This window comes from Homo sapiens, chromosome X, assembly GCF_000001405.40.
Source record: "Homo sapiens chromosome X, GRCh38.p14 Primary Assembly".
NCBI classification, from domain to species: domain Eukaryota; kingdom Metazoa; phylum Chordata; class Mammalia; order Primates; family Hominidae; genus Homo; species Homo sapiens.
In genome coordinates this window covers 145,972,975-145,995,442 of record NC_000023.11, presented here as the reverse complement: position 1 = coordinate 145,995,442, position 22,468 = coordinate 145,972,975, and the positions used below count along the sequence as shown (strand labels likewise).

The following is a 22,468-nucleotide window of genomic DNA, read 5'->3' as shown; positions in this document are numbered from 1 at the left end:
GGGTATAACTGTGCAAGATAGGGCAGTACCTCCACAATCAGCCATGCTGTGTGCAGTGCCCTGCCCAGAAATGTGTCAGTCGCCCAGATTATATGTCACTAGTTCCTTTCCAGGTAGAGTAAGGCACACCAAGTATAAGTTTGTAGTGGCCTTTGGACCCATGATAGTGTAGAGTTGCAAGAGCCTTCAGGTACCTTCCCTGAGACCAGCAGATCTTAGTTGGCCATGTGGACCTCAGGCATCCTCAAGATAAGTTAAGTGGCTTGTCCCTAACAACATGAGCACCTACAGGTTATAGATCAGAAAGGCAAGATGAAGATAATTCCTACTAGAAAAATAGAAAATGGGAACAATCTTGCTCTCTTCTGGTCCTGGCAATCATCCAGATAAACATAGAGTAGGTGAGAGATTCCTCACTTAGGGAGGCATATACCTTGGAGGGCAGTGGGCTAGACATGATCCAGGACTGATGAATAAATAAGTTCAGGGTTCAGACATCATGCTGTGCTCAGAGGAGTGATGGAAGCTACAGGTGGAGAACACGCAAGATGCGACAGCACCTCCACAATTAGCCATGTTGTGGGCAGTGCTCTACTCAAAAAGCTGTCAGTCACTTAGATTACATGTGACTGACACCTCTTTGGGTGAAGGAAGGCTCACCAAGTACACTTTTGTGGTGGTCCTCAGACTGGTGAGGGGGTAGACCTGCAAGCAACTTGAGCTGCCTTCATTGATCCCAGGAGAACCTTGGAAACCACCTGGAATTCAGGCATCGTCAAGATGATCATTTCTAACAACGTGAGCACCTACAAATTAGAGAAGGCAATGACAGAAAAGATAGTTACTTCCTAAAAGGAGAAAACAGGAACAATCTTTTCTTGTCTTGGCCATCATCCAGGTGAACATAAATCAGATAAGAAGGTCGTCACTGAGGCAGGCATGCCAAGTTGGAGGGCAGTGGGCTGGAAATTCTCTAGGAATTAAGATTAAGTTCAGGGTTCAGGCATCCTGCTGTGTTGAGTGGGGTGATGAAAGCTGCAGTGCACGATGGTGGATGATGGGGCAGCACCTCTACAATCAGACATGCTGTGGGAAGTGCCCTACTTGGAAAGGCATCAGTTGCTTAGATTACATGTAACTATTCCCTTTCTGAGTAGAGTAAGTCTTACCAAGTACAAGTTCATGGTGACCTTCGGACAGGTGATGCAGTGGAGTTGCTGGAGGCTTTAGTTGTCTTCAGTAAGGCCGGGAGATCCTAGCTGGCCACCTGAACCTTAGGTGTTCTCAAGGTGATTTCAATGATGCATTTCTAACAATGGAAATACCTATTTTTCAGAGAATAGAAAGATAGAAGAAATGAAGATACTTCCTAATAGAAGAACAGAAAACGAGCTTGTTCTCTCATGGTCCTGGCAACCATCTGGGCAAATATGGAGCAGTGAGCATGTCTCATTGAGTGAGACATGCGTCATGGAGGGCAGCAGACTGGACATTCTCCTGGACGGGGGTTGACCTTGCAAGATGGGCCAGCACCTCCGCTATCAGACATGCTGTGTGCAGTGTCCTACTTAGAAATGTGCCAGTTTCCTAGATTATACATCACTGGTTTCTTCCTTGGTAGTGTAAGGCTCAACAAGTATAAGTTTGTAGTGGCCTTTGGACCCATGATAGGGTGGAGTTTCAAGAGCCTTGAGGTACCTTTCCTGATACCAGGAGACCTTAGTTGGCCATGTGGACCTCAGGCATCGTCGAGATATTCTAAATCGTCTGTCCCTAACAACATGAACACATGCAGGTTATAGATGAGAAAGACAAGATGAAGATAATTCCTACTAGAAAAATAGAATGAGAACAATCTTGCTTTCTCCTGGTCTTGGCGATCACCCAGGTAAACATAGAGCAGGTGAGGGGTTCCTCATTTAGGGAGGCATGTACATTGGAGGGCAGTGGGTTAGACATGATCCAGGACTGTTGAATAAATAAATTCAGGGTTCAGGCATCATGCTGTGCTCAGGAGTGATGGAAGCTACAGGGGGAGAACATGCAAGATGGGACAGCACCCCCACAATTAGCCATGTTGTGGGCAGTGCCCTACTCCAAAAGGGGTCAGTCACTTAGATTAGATGTTTCCAGCTCCTTTCTGGGTAGAGCAAGATTCTCCAGGTACAATTTTGTGATGGCGTTCAGATTGGTGAGGAGACAGACCTGCAAGCACCTTCAACTGCCTTCATTGATCCCAGGAGAGATTTGGAAGCCACCTGGAACTCAGGGATCCTCAAGATGATTTTAATGATCCATTTCTAACAATGTGAGCACCTACAGGTTAGATAAGGTAATAATAGAAGAGATAAAGATACTTCCTAAAAGAAGAAGAGAGAACGGGAACAAGATTTTTTTTCTTCTCGTCTTGGCCATCATCCAGGGAAACATAAATCAAGTGAGAAGGTCTTCATTGAGGCAGGCATGCCAAGTTGGAGGGCAGTGGGCTGGAACTTCTCTAGGACTTAATAAATGTGTTCAGGGCTCAGGCAGCCTGCTGTGTTGAGGGGAGTGATGAAACCTGCAGTGCGTGATGGTGGGTGATGGGGCAGCACCTCCACTATCAGTCGTGCTGTGGGCAGTGCCCTATTCAGAAAGGTGCCAGTCACTTAGATTACATGTCACTGTTTCCTTTCTGAGTGGAGTAGGGCTTACCAAGTACAAGTGTGTGGTGGTCTTCAGACAGGCGATGAGTTGGAGTTGCTGGAGCCCTAAGTTGTCTTCAATGATGCCAGGAGATCCTAGCTGGCCACCTGAACCTCAGACATCCTCTAGATGATTTCAGTGGTTCATTCCTAATAATGAGAATACCTATATGATAGAGAAGAGAAGGATAGAAGACGTGAAGATACTTCCTAATAGAAGAACAGAAAAACAAGCTTGTTCTCTCGTGGTCCTGGCAACCATCTGGGTAAACATGAAGCCAAGTGAGAGTGCTCTTGCTGAGGGAAACATACATGATGGAGGGCAGTGGGCTGGACATTCTCTAGGATGGGGATTCACATTGCACGATGGAGTAGCCCCTCCCCATTCGTCCATAATATGTTCCAGAAAGGTGCCAGTCACTTAGATTATATGTAACTAGTTCCTCTCTGAGTGGACTAAGGCTTACCAAGTACAAGCATATAGTTGCCTGTAGACCCCTGATGTGGAGTTCCAAGGGCCTTGAGCTGCCTTCCCTGATGCCAGGAGATCCTATTTGGCCACATGGACCTCAGGCATCCTCAAGATAATTCTACTGGTGCATTCCTAATGATGTAGACTCCATCATGTTAAAGAAGAAAGTGATAGAAGAGATGAAGATACTTCCTAGTTGAAGAATAGAAAACGGGAACAAGCTTGTTTTCTCCTGGTCTGGGCAATCATCCAGGTAAACATAGAGCAGGTGAGAGGGCACTGAGGGAGACATGCAAGTTGGGGGCTTGTGGGCTGGGCATTATTTTGAACTGATGAATAAATAAGTTCAGGATTCAGGCATCATACCGTGCTCAGAGGAGTGATGAAAGCTGCAGGGTATGAAAATGCAAGATGGGGCAGCACTTCCCCTTTCGACCATGCTGTGTTCAGGGCTATTCCCAGAAAGGTGTCTGATATGGTTTGGCTGTGTCCCCACCCAAATCTCACCTTGAATCATAGTTCCCATAATCCCCATGTGTCATGGGAGGGACCCAGTGGGAGGTAATTGAATCATGGGGGCGGTTACTCCCATGCTGCTGATCTCATGATAGTGAGTTCTCACAAGATCTGATGGTTTTATAAGGGGCTTTCACCCGCTTTGCTCAACACTTCTCATTCCTGCCGCCATGTAAAGAAGGACGTGTTTGCTTCCCCTTCTACCGTAATTGCAAGTTTCCTGAGGTTTCCCCAGCCATGCTGAACTGTGAGTCAATTAAACCTCTTTTTTCAATAGAAATTACCCAGTCTTTGGTATGTCTTTATTAGCAGCATGACAATTGACTAATAGAGTGCCAGTAACTTAGATTACATGTAATTGGTTTTTTCTCTGGGTGGAATAAGAGTCACGAAGTACAAGTTTGTGGTGGCCCTCAGACTGGTGAGGGTATAGAGTTACAGGCACCTTGAGATGTCCTCATTGATCTCAGGAGATCCTTGGTGGTTAGCTAGAACTCAGTCATCCTCAAAATAAGTTTCATGGTCGTTTGCTACAATGTGAACACCTACGGGATACAGAAGATAAAGATATTTCCCAAAAGAAGAAGCGAAATCAGGAACAAACTTGTTCTCTCCTGGTCCTGGAAATCATCCAGATAAACATAGAGCAAGTGAGAGGGTCCTCAGTGAGGCATACATGCAAGTTGGAGGGTAGTGGGCTTGGGCATTCTCTAGGACTAATGAATAAATAAGTTCAGGGTTCAGGCATCATGCTATGCTCGGAGGAGTGATGAAAGCTACAGGGAGAGAACATGCAAGATGGGGCAGCATCTCCACAATTAGCCATGCTGTGGGAAGTTCCCTACTCAGAAATGTGCCAGTCACTTAGATTACATGTCACTGGGTCCTTTCTGGGTAGAGTAAGTACAAGTTTGTGATGGCCTTCAGACTGGTGATGGAAGTGGAACTGTAATCACTCTTGAATTGCCTTTCTTAGACCCAGCAGAGTCCTGAGAGCCATCTGGACCTAAGGTGTCCTCAAGACCTTTAGACTCTAAGGGTAGCCAGTGGACCACTGGGGGTTAATCTCAACTGAAAGAAAATAATTTCCCTAAATGATCTTCTTCCTCTTCTAATAATAGAATTAGATGACCAATCCAGGTTTGGGGTTTTGCAGGAAAAATTTCCAGCTTTCCTTGTAGATATCTGGAAAAGATATGGTAAGTTTTTGCCACACAGCTTTATTTGTCATGTGGCAAGAATATATAGAGATTCATGTTCAACTGTAATTTCCAGGATGTGGTGATTCAATTTTGTTTCATATACTTATTGAATATGTATTATCTTTATTTTTTAATTTGCTCGTTCTGTATGACATTTTATGTATATCCCTGCTTAGATAGACATGTTTGTTTTCATTCAATTCAAATCTTGAAGTTCTAAGAAGACACACTGGGGAATGCAGAGGTTAATGGCTTCTAATAGTTCAGCTGCAATTTCAAATGATACTGCAGGGTTTCATCAGCTCATTCAGTTGCTTTGAACTCACCATCTCTTTGTCATACATGATGATACTCTTTGAATAATTGCTTTTTATGGTGACCGTACGGTTTGGTTTCTAGTATTCCAGAAATTCATTATCTCCTTTTATAAGGTCACTCTGTTGAATTTCACTAGTTGGGGAATGCATGTGATGTTGTGAATTCAAAGTTGTAAAATAAGCAACATTCTCTTTGCATCATGTGGAACAAGGTTGCTTCAAGTTGATATGTTTGAGTCTCCTAATCACCTAGCTCCCAGACTCCCTAGCGTGAATGAAATTAATTTTCACTTAAATGCAGGGCTTCATTTGCTTGTGAGGAATTTGCCTATACAGCGATGGATGTAAGTGGTATGTGAATATAATCACTAGTGTGTCTGTCAGAATCTAGGTTACAAAAAAAATTAACATATATCTCTTTGCCTATATTAATAACAAATCTATCATATATAGATAGTAACAATTTTATAAGACCTGGTATATCGAAGATGAATTTAATCCTTGAATATGATATAAATACCCAGACTGGTAGATAAGTTAACATTAAGTCATTATTAATGCTTAATAATTACAGTTTTACTCAATTAAAACTGATAATTTTCATACAGGTGGGAAGCATTGGTGAGAGTGTGGTTAAGAGACTTAACTGTGACCTCAGAGAAAGAATTTGGGATATTTTTTAAATTAGTTTTTAATTATAAATTTAGTTTTTCCTCACAATAACCGGTGAATCCAAGAGATATATACAGACAAATTTTTATATTCCATATATATTTTTAACAGCATTCACTCAATGGTACGTTAATATTTAAATCCAGTTTCTCATTTTAAACAAACATGTATGTGAAGCTTAATTGTATGTGTCAACTTGGCTAAGCTATGATACCCAGTTTTGATCAAACACCAGTCATGTTGTTGTTGTGAAGGTAAATTTTACGTGAGATTAATATTTAAATAAGTAGACTTCACATAAAGCAGATTATCATTTATAATATGGATGGGCCTCATCCAGTGAGTTGAAGGCCTTAAGAGGAAAAGACTGAGGTCCCCAAAGGAAGAAGGAATTCTACTACCAGGCTGCCTTTTAGACTTGAGTTGCCAAATCAAGCCTTCTATGATCTTCAGCCTGCCAACCTTTTCTGTAGAGATTGAACTTGCTTGCTCCAACAACTCTGTGAGCCAGTTCCTTAGAATAAATCCCTTGTCTCTCTGAGTCTCTCTCTCTTTCTCTCCCCTGCCCTTTCCCTCGCCTCTTTCCCTCTCTTTCTTTCCGCCTTCTCTCTTCATACACGCACCACTGATTGGTTCTGTTTTTCTGAAACCATAGTGTAATATCTACACTAAGTCACTATTAGAGAAGCTGATACGTGTAATATGCCTTCATTGTCCAACAAATGGGAACATTCACTGAGTTCTGCATAATATGAAAGATGTATACATATATATCATATAACAAATGTGAAAACATTGACATCTTTCCTCATGAAATGCTTTTTCTAGTTTAAGTTTCAAAATTTCACTACTTAGTGGGGTTTAATTTAGGATTAGTGATATAAACTAGGGATAGATATTTTTAACTATTTATGTGTTTTCCCATATATCATGGCAACACATAATTATTTCCTAGCAGACTTTTTGAGTTTTTTGGGGAAGTAAAGCCGTGACTTAATCCATTCTTGCTACTATAAACAAATACCATACACCAGGAAGTTTATAAACAGATATTTATTTCTTACAGTTCTGGAGGCCGGGAAGTCCAAGATCAAGACAACAGCAGATTCATTGTCTGTCAAGAGCCCATCTTCTTGCTGTAACTTCACATGGCAGAAGGGACAAGGCTGCTCTCTGGGGCTTCTTTTATAAGGGCACTAATCCTATTCATGCAGGGTCCACCTTTATGACCTAATAATTTGCCTAATAACTCCACCTCTTAATGCCATCACATTGGTTCTTAGGTTTCAACACACGAATTGTACGTAAAACATAAAATTCAGACCATAGCACTCCACGTGTTAATTTTCTAACTTTGAATGATACTTCTTATTCTTCCTTGTTGAGAATTTTCCTTGATAATCTATTTAATTTACATTTAGGCATTAAAAATATCATTGCTTTGTCGGATTTCCCTAAGTGTAACATTTATCTTTCTGACTTTGCTTTTGCAATGAGGAAATGTGTGCACACTGAAAATCTTTACAGAATCGAACTCAGTCATCTTTTGACGTGGGAGCATGACATAGTTTTTGTTTACTTCAGGAAAGTCATGCTATGTTCTTTGTAGATATGTAGAATAGATGTTATAAATTTATTCCTAGCATCTCCTTTTCTTTTTATGTTAATTAAATTCACATCTCCATCATCTTTGCTGATTATTGCAGGTAGACAGGTAACATGCCTAGTTTTGCCAACTCACTTCCCTCTCAGCTTTCATTATTTTTTAGCTCATTTAGTTGGATGATTGCATTCAACGGTTTAATGAATTAGAATTCAATAAACTTTCTGAACCCATTGACCTGTTAGGAACTGCTTTATCATGGAATAGCAAGTTAGGTGGATAGTACCTGAGTTCCTTTTCTCCTTTGCTTTGTTTTATTTTTATTTTGAAAGTTTTGCCTTTTTTAGTGAAGAATGCTTTACCTAAATTATCTATTAAAAAGTACATTCAAAATTATTTAATTTGATAAATGGTAAAGTAGGCATCACTGGCTAAAAATTAAAACACTGATAATTTCTTGCTAATAACATTTCATGAATGAATTACATTCCCCTAAGTCCTTTTCAGGTTTTCTGTTACAGTGTAGGCTCGCTTTTATTCTGAGAACTGGGTGGTAAATCTGAAGATTTGGAGAACTTTGCTTTCTGCCCATCCTGTGTCGGCACTGTGTCCTCCTGAGTCATTACCATTTGAAGACATTTTGGTAGAATGAAAGTGGAAGGAATTTCTCAGGCTAGATAAAAATAACCCAAAATATTAAAGTATTTTGTTTAAATATTACTATTTTTGGATTATTTTTATCTAGTCTGAGAATGTCCTAAAAGAACTTTCTTATTGGTAGTCAAGTAAGGAGTTAACAAATAGGAAATTACCATATCTTAATTAAATGGGTTTAGGAACGTATATATATTGACTCTAGTGATGACAGTAATGTTCTTGCTTCTGTGTTGTTTTGCAGTCTCCCAATATATTTTTACATTACCTCATTTACTCCTCATAAAAAATCAGGGCTATAGAATTATTAATGTTTATTTAGTTATTGGTTGTTCCTGATGTCTACCCATAACAATGTCCAAGTTCTTGCCCAAAAGATGTATAACCATTCACCAAATGATGCTTGTTACTATTACAGCTACTCTATTAATACAGCCATAAGGGGTGCTACTATTATTAACTTTACAAGTATTGCTATGTTGAAGTGCAATTTTTACCTCCTAACAGGCAGGAAATGCTTGGATGTTCATAAAATAATATAAACAAATTGCCGACTGTTGATAAGATAAATTCTACTCTTAAGTTTACCTTTAATAAAAGCATATTATCTTGATTTTTAATGAAAATTTTCAATTTTTTACATGTTTAATAAAATGGGACTCCATTAATGATTAATTTAATATTTTTATAAAGATTCTCCATACCTGTTTTTATCCACTGTAACTATCTAGATTTTATTTAACAACTATAGTTTTGTCATGTTCCACCTAGACTACAGGCATGCTTGAGGACTTAGGTATTAAAGGCAAGTAATGGAATAGTGAGGGTTAGCTATCAGGAGATACAAGGACTTTGCCTAGGCTCCCATTGTGTGGATTTGTATGGTCTTAATAGAAAATAACTGCCATTAACATGTATGCTTGGCTGGGTGTGGTGGCTCACGCCTGTAATCCCAGCACTTTGGGAGGCTGAGGCAAAGGGAGGACCAGTTGAGGCCAGGAGTTCGAGACCAGCCTGGCCAACATGGCAAAACCCCGTCTCTACTAAAAATACAAAAATTAGCCAGACGTGGTGGCATACGCCTGTAATCCCAGCTACTTGGGAGGCTGAAGCAAGAGAATTGCTTGAACCCAGGAAGCAGTGGTTGCAGTGAGCCGAGATGGCACCACTGCACTCCAGCCTGGGTGACAGAGTGAGACTACATCTCAAAAAAAGGAAAAGTATGCTTTTAGTGGAAATGGATTGTATGATTATGTAGACATTATGTGTCTTAATAATTTTTTAGGTTATAAAATTATTTTGTAAATTTCTTCAAACCTAATACATTCTGATATAAATTAAAAAATAAGTTTATATAAATCTACAGTTGACTCTTGAAGAACCCAAGTTTGAAATGCGTGAGTCCACTTACACGTCAATTTTCTTCCATGCCTGCCATCTTTAAGACAGCCAAGACCAACCCCTTCTCTTCCTCCTCCTCCTCAGCCTACCCAACATGAAGGTGATGAGGATGAAGACCTTTATGATGATACACTTCCACTTAATGAATAGTATATATTTACTTTTCTTACTTTATTGTAAGAATGCAGTATATACATATACAAAATATGTGTTAATCGACCTTTTATGTTATTAGTAAGGCTTCTGGTTAACAGTAGGCTATTAGCAGTTAAGTTGGCAGGGAGTCAACAGTTATACACAGATTTTTGACTGTACAAGGAGTCAGTGCCCCTAACCCATGCTTTGATCAAGAGTGAACTGCATTTTTTTATTATTAGTCTACAGATTTTATCTAAGCACTCTACCTAAAAGATTAAGAAGCATAAAGTCGATGTTAATATTGGATGTTAATTTTTTTTACTATTCTTTATATTAGCATGAACAAATTTTAATTATTGTTTTAAAGTGTGGAGCCATTGTTGGATGTAGAACTAAGTGACTTGATCATGATTTAAGAGAAATGAATGATGTAAATTCGTTTTCGTAGCTTGAAAGCATGATTTTTTGTTTTAATTTTTTAAATGATGGGTATGCTGTTATCTCACTGTAACTACTGAACCTAGACAACCTGTAGGGAAACCATCTACATTTCATATCCCTTCCTCAACGTATGTAAACTTCTTGTTAAATTAATATTCTAAAATATTTTGCATGTTTGCATAAGAAGGTACGTCCCTGTGAGAAGCTAAAATGTGGTTTTGAGTATCCATGTGTTTTTAATTTCTCTAGAAATATCCTGTGCACATTTTTTAATCTGGTTTGATTTATGGATATGAAGTCCTGGATATTCATCCAGAATAAACTATATATTGGCTTCATAATATGTATGAAATTCAACTTTTTTTTGTTTTCGAGACATAGTCTCACTCTGTCACCCAGACTGGAGTGCAGTGGCACCATCTCAGCTCACTGCAACCTCCACCTCCCGGGTTCAAGCAATTCTCCTGCCTCAGCCTCCCGAGTAGCTGGGACTACAGGCACACACCACCATGCCTGGCTAATTTTTTGTATTTTTAGTAGAGACGGGGTTTCACTGTGTTAGCCAGGATGGTCTCCATCTCCTGACGTCATGATCCACCCACCTCAGCCTCCCAAAGTTCTGGGATTGCAGGCGTAAGCCACTGCGCCTGGCCAAAATTCAACTTTTTAATCCATGTAGTATACATGTGGTTTTGTTATATGAAATAAGCATGCATATTTTTAAAAGTAATTGAGTATAATACATCGGCTCCCAGTTCTATTCAACACTTATCCATATGATTTCTTAAGCCACTATCACACTTAGTAATTACTATAACTTTTGGTAGTCATAGTAATTTCCCTCCCGTGAAAGAGTATTCTATATCTTCAATATTGTTTTAGTTTTCTTAGCAGTATCTTTCAAATATCATTTTTGTAATCTTGAAAAAGTCCATCTAATCAAATTGTTATCTTATTATTTTTGCTTTTGATATTATATTAAAAATTTTTGACCTAATATCACAAATAATTTATTGTATATTTTCTGATAGAAATTTAATAATATTCCTTCTTACACTTCGCATTATAATCCATTTTGAGCTTTTATGTATGGTGTGAATTAAAGATGAGATTCTTTTTTCCATACAGATATCTAATTTCTGCAACACACCATTTGTTGAAAAGTCTGTCTTATCTCTATTGAGTGTTGTTGAAAACTTTATCAACGATTAATTGATCTAATTGGTTTGAGTTTATGTTGGCCCTCTCTTTTCCATCTCATTGATCAATACGTTTGTTCTTACCAAAAAAACCCACATTGTCTTTAATCCTGTAGCCTCATAGAAAGTCTTTATAATAGTTTTTAGAATATGTAGTATAAATCATTTAACTTTGTTCTTTTTTGAAGTTGTTTAGATATTCTGTCTTTTGACTTTCTATATAACATTTTTTATTTGTGTTCTTTTTCATATTTATTGTGTATATTTGAGATATACAACATAATGTTTTTATATACGTAGTGAAATGGTTACTATAGTCAAGCACATTAACATGCCCATCATCTTGCATAGTTACCTTTTATGTATGTATGTGTTAAGAGCACCAAAAGTGTACTCTCAGCAAATTTCAAGTATACAGCACAATATTATAACTATAGTACTTATTTTGTATATTAGATCTCAAGACTTATCCATCCTACATATGTGCAAGTTTGCACACTTTGACCTACATCTCCCGACTCTTCCTTCTGCCCCCCATTTCTGGTAACCACCATTTTATTCTGTGTCTATATATTTGACTTTTTAAAGATTCTACATATAAATTACATCTTGCAGTATTTTTCTGTAGGTGGCTTGTTTCATATAGCATAATTTCCTCCAGGTTCATCCATATTTTTGCAAATGGCAGGATTTTTAAATATATAAACATATAATATTTAATTATATATTTATATACCACAACTTCCTTATTCATTCATCTGTAGATATACGCTTTGTTTCTACATCTTGGCAATTTTGAATAATGCTGAAATGAACATGAAAAAACAGATGCATCTACAAAATCCTGATTTGTCTTTCAGTGTATACTCTGCAAAGGAATTGCCAGGTCATATCTACATAACTTTTAAATTGAACCTTCCAATTTATTCTAAAAAAAACTTTTTTGGGTTTTGATTGGGGTTGCGTTGAATTCCTTTATCAACTGAGGTGGGTGAGTTAACCTCTTAATTACACTGAGTCTTCTAATCCAAGAATATGATATGTATCTCCATTTATTTAGTACTTTTTTTTCTTGGAATGTTTTGCAGTTTCTAGTTTATAAGTTTTCCATATTTTCATTTGATTTATTTCTAAATATTTGTTATGCTATTGTTAATGAAACATTTATTTATTTATTTATTTATTTATTTATTTATTTATTTATTTTTGAGACAGAGTCTCACTCTGTCACCCAGGCTGGAGTGCGGTGGCTCCATCTCGGCTCACTGCAAGCTCCGCCTCCCAGGTTCATGCCATTCTCCTGCCTCAGCCTCCTGAGTAGCTGGGACTACAGGTGCCCGCCACCAAGCCCGGCTAATTCTTTGTATTTTTAGTAGAGACAGGGTTCCACCATGTTAGCCAGGAGGGTCTCGAACTGCTGACTTCATGATCCGCCCACCTTGGTCTCCCAGAGTGGTAGGATTACAGGCTTGAGCCACTGCGCCTGGCCGAAATATTTAATTTTATGTTTTAATTGTTGGTTGTAGTTATATAGACATGGAATTGATTTTTATTTAGTGAACTTACATCCTGCAACTCTGCTATATTCATTTGTTAGTTCTAGTAGTCTTAGAGTTATCTAAATACACGATCGTGTCTTCTATAAATAGTTTTACTCCATTCTTCCAAACATGTATTATTTTATTCTTTCTTCTTCCTTTATTAACAACTCGGGAAATTTATCCAGGTGCAATGATAAATAAATATCCTAAGTGCCAATGTTCTAGATTTGTTCTCAATCTTACATAGAAAGAGCCTTTCACTATTTAATATGTTGTTGGTTGTAGGTTTTTCATAGATATCCATAATTAGACTGAGTTAGTTTCCTTCTTTTCCAAGAGTTTATTTTTACCATTTAAGGATGTGCAACTTTGCCAACTGCTTTTTCAGCATCTGTTGAAATGATCATATTCTTTTTTCCTTTAATCTCTTAATATGGTACAATACATTGACTGATTTTAGAATGTTAAACCAATCTTGTGAATACAGAAATATCACTCCTATATATCTATTTCCTCTTCCTCCTTTTTGTGCTATTATAATTATACGAAATACATCTATATATACTTCAACCCCCAACAATGTATTGCTATAATGATTGTTTAATTTTATGTCTGTCAAAGAAGCTTAGAAAAGAAAAGAGAGCAAGTCTATGCTTACAAAGTTTGTTACATTAACCTGCTTACTCACCATTTCTGGTTATCTTTATTTGTTCCTTTGTGTTTGAGTTACCATACCATACCATATGGCATAATTGACTTATTCCAATAGAACTTTGCCCTCACTCAACTTTTTGCTGTTATTTTCAAATATCTTTCTTTTCTGTATATTCTCCAAAATACAATACATATTGCTTTACACAATAGTTTTTTGTTTGTTTGTTTGTGTTTTGAGACTGTCTTGCCCTGTCACCCAGGCTGGACTATTGGACTATAGTGGCATGATCTTGGCTCACTGCAACCTCTGCCTCCTGGGTTCAAGCAACTCTCCTGCCTCAGCCTCCTGAGTAGCTGGGATTACAGGTGTCCACCACCACACCCGGCTAATTTTTGTATTTTTAGTAGGGACAGGGTTTCACCATGTTGGCCAGGCTGGTCTTGAACTCCTAACCTCAAGTGATCCAACCACCTCAGCCTCCCAAAGTGCTGGGATTACAGGCATGAGCCACCACGCCCGGTCGTATACAATAGTTTTGTTTTGTTTTGTTTTGTTTTTTTGAGACAGGGTCTTGCTCTGTCACCCAGGCCAGAGTACAATGCCATGATCTTGGCTCACTGCAACCTGCACCTCCCAGGTTCAAGCAATTCTCCTGCCTCAGCCTCCTGAGTATCTGGGATTACAGGTGCCTGCCACTGCGCCCAGCTAATTTATGTATTTTTAGTAGAGACGGCATTTCACTATCTTGGCCAGGCTGGTCTTGAACTCCTGACCTCATGATCCACCCGCCTCAGCCTCCCAAAGTGCTGGGAATACAGGCGTGAGCCACCACGCCTGGCTATACAATAGTTTTTAAGTCAGTTTAGAGTAGGAGAGTGTTGACAAAGAGTCAAACTCTAAAATACTTGAAGAGATTTATTCTGAGCCAAATATGAGTGACCATGGCCTGTGACAGCCTTCAGGAGGTCTGAGAACATGTGTCCAAGGTGGTGGGTGTGCAACTTGGTTTTATACATTTTAGGGAGGCAAGAGACATCAATCAAATACACTTGATAAATACATTGGTTTGATTCAGAAATGCAAGACATTTTGAAGTGGGAGGCTTCCAGGCTATAGGTAAATTTAAACATTATCTGGTTGACAGTTGGTTGAGTTTGTCTAAAGGTCCGGTATTAACAGAAAGGAAATGTTCAGGTTAAGATAAGATTGTGGAGACCAAGGTTTTTTGAAGTCTCTTAGTAGCTGCCCTTAGAGACAACAGATAACAAGTGTATCCTATTCAGACCTTTAAAAAGTGCTAGACTCTCAGTTAATCTCTTCAGGATTGGGAGGGCCAGGAAGAAAAAGATCTAGCTATGTTAATAGAGATCCTTTACAGATGGAAATTTTCACCCACAAAGTTAGGACAGCTTTGCAGGGCCATTTCAAAATATGGGGGAGAAAAAAAATGTTTTGAGGTAAAATCTTTTGATTTTCTTAATCACATAATGTTATGCCAGAGTCAGATTGGAAAGAAAGTCACAGTATATAGGGTTAAATGAAATCCATCTGATGAGAATTTATCATTTACAGAGCATGACTCCCCAGACACCTTAGATAGAAATTTGGGCAAGATGAAACAAAATCAGAGCTTAGTCCTCAGGAGAGAAGAAATACGTATTTATATTGTCTTTTAATGTTACAAAATTGCCTTTATCATGGCTCTTTGTTTTTTCATGTGGATTTGAATTAGCACATGGTATCACTTTCTTTTCATTTTCAAAAACTGCCTTTATTAAGTATCTTGTCAGCTTGGTTCACTAGCAACAAATTCAGTTTGTTTTAATTGGAAATGCCTTAATTTTGCCTTCATTTTTACCCCTGGGTTTATGATTCTTGGTTAACAGTTTTGTTGTTGCTGTTGTTTTTTCTATCAGTGCTGTAATAGGTAATCTTATTTCTTTCTGGCCTCCTTTGCTTCTGATGAGAAGTCAGATCTTATTCTTAGAGTTTCTTTTATGCATGACAAGTCATTTTTCTCTTGCTGTTTTCATGATTTTCTTTTTGTTGTTGTATTTCAGCATTTTTGCTATGATGACTTGGTATGCATCTCTTTGCATTTATATTACTTAGAGTTTGTTGAATTTTTAGATGTTCAAAATTATGCTTTTAATCAAATTTAGAAAATGTTCAACTATTTTCTTTGAATTTTTTCTGTTCTGTTCTCCGTATCCTCTTCTTGATTTCCTGTTAAACATGTGTTGGTATGGTAAATGGTGTCTTGTGCTTGTCTGAAGCCCTGTTGAATTTTCTTCATTTTTTTTTCTTGTTTTTCTTATTAAAAAACTTTCTCTTTCTTCAAGTTTGTGATTTTTTTTGTCTGCCAGTTGAAATCTGCTGTTAACCTTTTCTGGCGAAATTTATATTTCAGTCTCTGTCAGTTTCAATTCCAGAATGTTATTTGGCTCTTTTTAATAATTTCTCTTTCATTATTGATATTCTCTATTGCCATGAAAGCTTCCTTTACATCATTAATTATGGTTTTCTGTTTTTCCTTTGGACATATTTGTAATGGTTGCCTTGAAGTATTATCTTTTAAATCTGACATCTGGGCTCTCTCATAGTTTCTGTTCCCTCATTTTATTCTTGTGTATATGTCAAACTTTCTGTTTCTTTGCATGTCATGAATTTTTTTTTCTTGAAAACTCAAAAATTGAGGTAATAGATTCATTAACTCTGGAAATTTACTCCCTGTATCTTGTTTTTGTCCTTGTTTAATTGTTTAGTGACTTGCTTGAACTATTGTAAGTATTCTTCTTCCTTAATGTGACTCTTCTGATGTTTCTTCTCAGAGGATGCAGACTTTTGAGTACACAAAGGTACCATGGGATAACAGTAGCTTTAGCAGAGATGTATTTGTCAATTTCCCTGATTTCTCAGTTAAGCTGTCTGTCTCATTTGGTGTCACAGCAAATTGTTAGATTTTATTAATTGCCAGCTGTTTGTTCTGTAGTTTTTGGTATTTTCTTTCTAAATTTTTCATTTTTCATTTTCATGGGTACGTAGTAGACGTATGTATTTATGGAGTATATGAGATATTTTGATACAGGCATGAAATGTATAATAATCACATCATGAAAAATGAGTTATCTATCTCCTGAAGCATTTATCCTTTTTATTACAAAGAATTCTAATATACTGTTTTAGTTAATTAAAATGTATAATGGAATTATTTTGACTATAGTTATATTGTGCTATCAATATTAGGTATAATTTCTTCTTCTTATTTTTGTACCCATCAACCATCCCCACCAACTAAAAGAACCCTAAAAAACTTAGCAGCCTCTGGTAATGAACCTTCTATTCACTATCTTCATGCATTCAATTGTTTTGGTTTTTACATCGGACAATAAGTGAAAAGATGTGATGTTTGTTTTTCCATGCCTGGTTGATTTCACTTAACATAATGACCTCAAGTTTTGTCCATGTTGTTGCAAATGACAGAATCTCATTGTTTTAAGGCTTTTCTATGTACTTCATTATGTATCAGTATAACATTTTCTTTATCCATTCATCTGTTGATGGACATGGTTTTAGTGTGTTTTCATGCTGCTGAAAGAGGTTTTCATGTTGTTTTAGTCTGTTTTCATGCTGCTGAAAGAAAGAGATTTAACTGACTTACAGTTCCACATGGCTGGGAAAGCCTCACAATCATGGTGGAAGGCAAAGAGGAGCAAGTCTTGTCTTACATGGATGGCAGCAGTCAAAGAGGGAGAGCTTGTGCAGGGGAACTCCTCTTTTTAAAACCATGGATCTCATGAGACTTATTCACTACCATGAGAATAGCACGGGAAAGACTTGCCCTCATTTCAGTTATCTCCCACCAGATCCCTCCCACAACATGTGGGAATTCAAGATGAGATTTGGGTGGGGAGTGGGGACACAGCCAGACACAGCCAAACCATACCATTCTGCCCCTGGTGCCTCCCATATCTAATGCCCTCGCATCTTAAATCCAATCATGGCTTCCCAACAGTCCCCCGGAGTTTTAACTCATTTCAGCATTAACTCAAAAGTCCACAGTCGAAAGTCTTATCTGAGACAAGGCAAGTCCCTTCCACCTATGAGCCTGTAAAATCAAAAGCAGGTTAGTTACTTCCTAGATATAGTGGGGATTTAGGCATTGGGTAAATAATGCCATTCCAAATGGGAGAAATTGGTCAAAACTTTTATAAATAAAGTTTCGGTGCCACAAAAGAAATAGCACATGAATATAAAATTTTCTTTTTAATTCTCAGCAAGGCAATGTACTTCTATAGAAGGGTGCACCCTTACAGATGGAGCAATGGTGAGCACACACTTGGACAAAGGAGGGGAAGGGGTTCTTATCCCTGATGCATGTGGCCCCTGCTGCTCTGTTGTTCCCTTATTGGCTTGGGTTAGACAGCACAGGCTAAACTAATTCCAATTGGCTAATTTAAAGAGAGTGACTGAGTGAGTGGTTTGGGGAGTCAGGGTGGAGCAGGTAAGGGTGAAGCAGGTAATTGAAGTGAGTCAGGATGGAACAGGTGATCAAAAAAGGTTGCTTTACGAGGAAGTTAAGTTTAAAAGTAGAAGGCAAAGAATTGAACATTCTGACATATTGCTGCTTTGAAGAGAAATGTAGAATTCATATCTAATAAGTCCCTCCTCTTGCATTTTCCTTACAGCTTTCTCTTCAAACTTCTTTAACATGTCTTGGCTTAGTTGTTCTGCTTGATTTTCCAAAAGAAGCTTCTCTGGATAAGGTGGAGGATAATTAAGGGAGGTTTTAGTAAGTGCTGTTTCTATGAGCCTCTGCACCAACCCACGGATGCATGGTATGACACAGCACCCAACAAGAATAAGTACACCCATTACGGCTGCGAGGGAAGTAAGAATTGAGGCTGTTATTCCTTTCCGTTTACTAAGCCACTTTTCTAGTCATCCTGTAAAGGGGTCATTTACCCCTGACTTGCTGGCTAACTCATTGGATAGAGCAGTCAGACCTTGCAATGCCTTTGTTATACTTCCATCAGGGGTGATGTTGTTTGGGATGAAGGTACAACATTGAGTTTTAATCATGATGCAAACTCCTCCTCTTTCTGCTAATATCATGTCAAAGGCTATCCTATTTTCCCAAGCCATCTGGCCAGTAGCCCCTAATGGCTCAGCTATTCCTTTAACAGCATCTCTAGTGTAGTTAATAAATCACTGTTGGTTGTAGTAGATGTAGTTTATCCAATCTATATTTTTATTAGTTGTCACCCACCAAGATATTGACTCATATCCTGCAGCTATTTGATTTCGGGCTTTAAGTTGATCTGGTATTCCCCTTGGGACTCCAATTGCGTTATATAGAGGTGAGAGTCAAAAGACCCATAAGGGACTTCCCTCGCTTTATAATGTCTTATTTTTCCTTCCTCTGGTTGATGAAATGCCAGGATGAAAGGGATAGCTAATTGGACTAAAGAACAAGTGCCACTCCAGTTATTCAGCAGAGTGTCCAGTAAAGGTCCACCACAATACTACCACACATCCACTCGGGGATGAACAAGGGCTGACTGATTGATAAGCTCTTGAAAATTCTTAAGCTCACTGCATCCCTTCAGGTCTTCAAGTAACACTAAGCTTCCTCCCTGTCATGAGAGACATGAAGTGAACTTAATGTTGGGAGACTGAAGCTGGATGGCCCTCTGGGGCTAACCCACAGGGTGCCAGATTTCGGGATATAGCAGAGCGAGAGCATGGCACCACTTGTTACTCCAGGCTGTGGAATCCTGGAAAAGAGCTACTATGCAGCCCATGCCTGGTCAACTGGAAGACCACCCTAGTGGAAAGGGGACAATCTGGGTGTCTGGCCTGCTGTGTGCACAAGCATAACAATTGCTTTTGTTTAACGTGTGGATGGAATATTTGATCCATTCCAACCAGGCATTTGCATCTTGGTATCCTGTCTTAATTGCCAAAGTTTGTTTTAAGTCTTTTTTTTTTTTTTTTTAATTTTTTTTTTTTTATTATACTCTAAGTTTTAGGGTACATGTGCACATTGTGCAGGTTAGTTACATATGTATACATGTGCCATGCTGGTGCGCTGCACCCACTAACGTGTCATCTAGCATTAGGTATATCTCCCAATGCTATCCCTCCCCCCTCCCCCGACCCCACCACAGTCCCCAGAGTGTGATATTCCCCTTCCTGTGTCCATGTGATCTCATTGTTCAATTCCCACCTATGAGTGAGAATATGCGGTGTTTGGTTTTTTGTTCTTGCGATAGTTTACTGAGAATGATGGTTTCCAATTTCATCCATGTCCCTACAAAGGACATGAACTCATCATTTTTTATGGCTGCATAGTATTCCATGGTGTATATGTGCCACATTTTCTTAATCCAGTCTATCATTGTTGGACATTTGGGTTGGTTCCAAGTCTTTGCTATTGTGAATAGTGCCGCAATAAACATACGTGTGCATGTGTCTTTATAGCAGCATGATTTATAGTCCTTTGGGTATATACCCAGTAATGGGATGGCTGGGTCAAATGGTATTTCTAGTTCTAGATCCCTGAGGAATCGCCACACTGACTTCCACAATGGTTGAACTAGTTTACAGTCCCACCAACAGTGTAAAAGTGTTCCTATTTCTCCACATCCTCTCCAGCACCTGTTGTTTCCTGACTTTTTAATGATTGCCATTCTAACTGGTGTGAGATGATATCTCATAGTGGTTTTGATTTGCATTTCTCTGATGGCCAGTGATGATGAGCATTTCTTCATGTGTTTTTTGGCTGCATAAATGTCTTCTTTTGAGAAGTGTCTGTTCATGTCCTTTGCCCACTTTTTGATGGGGTTGTTTGTTTTTTTCTTGTAAATTTGTTTGAGTTCATTGTAGATTCTGGATATTAGCCCTTTGTCAGATGAGTAGGTTGCGAAAATTTTCTCCCATGTTGTAGGTTGCCTGTTCACTCTGATGGTAGTTTCTTTTGCTGTGCAGAAGCTCTTGAGTTTAATTAGATCCCATTTGTCAATTTTGGCTTTTGTTGCCATTGCTTTTGGTGTTTTGGACATGAAGTCCTTGCCCACGTCTATGTCCTGAATGGTATTGCCTAGGTTTTCTTCTAGGGTTTTTATGGTTTTAGGTCTAACGTTTAAATCTTTAATCCATCTTGAATTGATTTTTGTATAAGGTGTAAGGAAGGGATCCAGTTTCAGCTTTCTACATATGGCTAGCCAGTTTTCCCAGCACCATTTATTAAATAGGGAATCCTTTCCCCATTGCTTGTTTTTCTACGATAGCTATCTTGTTCTTGTGGTTAGATGGAGGAGGAGCAATTATCCCGTTGTGAGAGGTTTTGGAAGAAGGCTTAGAGGAAGGTGGAGGTGGCGGGGGATCAAAGAAACGCATTTCAAAGAATCTGATAGGGTCTGTCCCTGAAACCTCAGCCCCCATACCATAAAACCGGCTTAAAGAAGGGAAGAAAAGGAGAAGAACTTTGAGGATTCGAGATAATAACCTGTATAGGATTGCACTGGTTTAGCTGACAGTTTGGGGGCTGGGGGGGTGCTGTCCCTCTAGTAAAATGAATGTATGGTTTTAGGAAATTACAAAAACCAATTGGGGCATTCCATCCTTGCTCTTTAGTGGTCCACAGAATGTTGGACCAACTATTGCATAAAAGCTCTGCACTGGAGGGACAAGACTCCTGGTTGACCCTGGAGTCTTAATGAAAATCTCCCCAGATTAAATGGTCCCAATTCACTAATGCCCAATCTGAGGAGAGTCAGGAGGGACAGAGGTACTTTTCTGAAGTAGAGAGCTGTGTTTGACTTGGCAAGTCCCCACAGGATATAACAAGGCAAGCATCAAATCCTGTAGTTTGAGATGAAGTTGACTTCATTATGTTAATAACTAGATGGTCAGCAATAGAGTGAGGAAAGAAGAAAGAGTAATAGAATAGATGAAAGAGAGTTAAATTTTTCTTAGCTTTGGTTTGGTAGGGTTTTCCCCTGGGACTATGGCCTTCAACTCTGGAGGGATTGGCGCTTTCTTGACTCGGGTGTGTTGAGTCCATTCCCTTTCCTCTGTATGAACAGCAGTCTTGGTGGTTAGCAGCACAAAGTAGGGTCCTTCCCAGGCTGCTCGAGTTTTCCTTCTTTTCACCCTTCAATGAGCACGTGATCCTCAGGCTGGTGCTGGTTTACCGGAAATTCTAGGGGTGGTACCTGTGCTAAAAGACGTTTAGTTTTGCGAGAAAGGAAAGTGGAAGATAAACCAAGTATATCATTTCTAAGAAATTAATCTTTTGTTTTAAATGTGGGGACATCAGCAGTCGACTTTATAGTCCTTGGTGCCTTCTTACTGAGAAATTTCCTTTAGCCTCTATTTTTATTAGTTTTTAGACCAAAGAAAGCCAAATACCATTTCATATTTGACAATGCTTCCTGTATGATTTTTTATACCAGATAAGCTAAATGTCACCTTTATATTAGTGTGTTATTAATGCTAAACTCAATTTTAATAAAACCTTGTAGACATATTTATCCAATTTTAACGTGTGACAATAAGATAAGATTTTTATAGACGCTTTTTTTTTTTTGAGACGGAGTCTCCCTCTGTCGCCCAGGCTGGAGTGCAGTGGCGCGATCTCAGCTCACTGCAAGGTCTGCCTCCCGGGTTCGCGCCATTCTCCTGCCTCAGCCTCGCAAGTAGCTGGGACTACAGGTGCCCGCCACCACGCCCGGCTAATTTTTTGTATTTTTAGTAGAGACGGGGTTTCACTGTGTTAGCCAGGATGGTCTTGATCTCCTGACCTCATGATCCACCTGCCTCGGCCTCCTAAAGTACTGGGATTACAGGCGTGAGCCACCGCGCCTGGCCTTATAGACATTTTTTAACCTTTTATAATTTTTGTTAAAGAGCAGGATGGTGATTTAAGAAAACCCTGTTGTGCTTTTATTTTGATTTCCAGTTCACAGA

At 38.7% G+C, this 22,468-nt stretch overlaps 3 non-coding genes across 3 annotated transcripts; all 3 read left to right on the top strand.

Moving 5' to 3' along the window:
- Window positions 1–582: 582 nt before the first annotated feature.
- MIR888 (microRNA 888) lies at window positions 583–659 on the top strand. Its single transcript, NR_030592.1, has one exon. It is a non-coding gene; the product is annotated as a microRNA 888 (primary transcript).
- Window positions 660–1,091: 432 nt separating this feature from the next.
- On the top strand, window positions 1,092–1,168 carry MIR890 (microRNA 890). The gene has a single exon (NR_030589.1). It is a non-coding gene; the product is annotated as a microRNA 890 (primary transcript).
- A 1,448-nt stretch (window positions 1,169–2,616) lies between these two features.
- On the top strand, window positions 2,617–2,693 carry MIR892C (microRNA 892c). Its single transcript, NR_106783.1, has one exon. It is a non-coding gene; the product is annotated as a microRNA 892c (primary transcript).
- The last annotated feature ends 19,775 nt before the right edge of the window (window positions 2,694–22,468 follow it).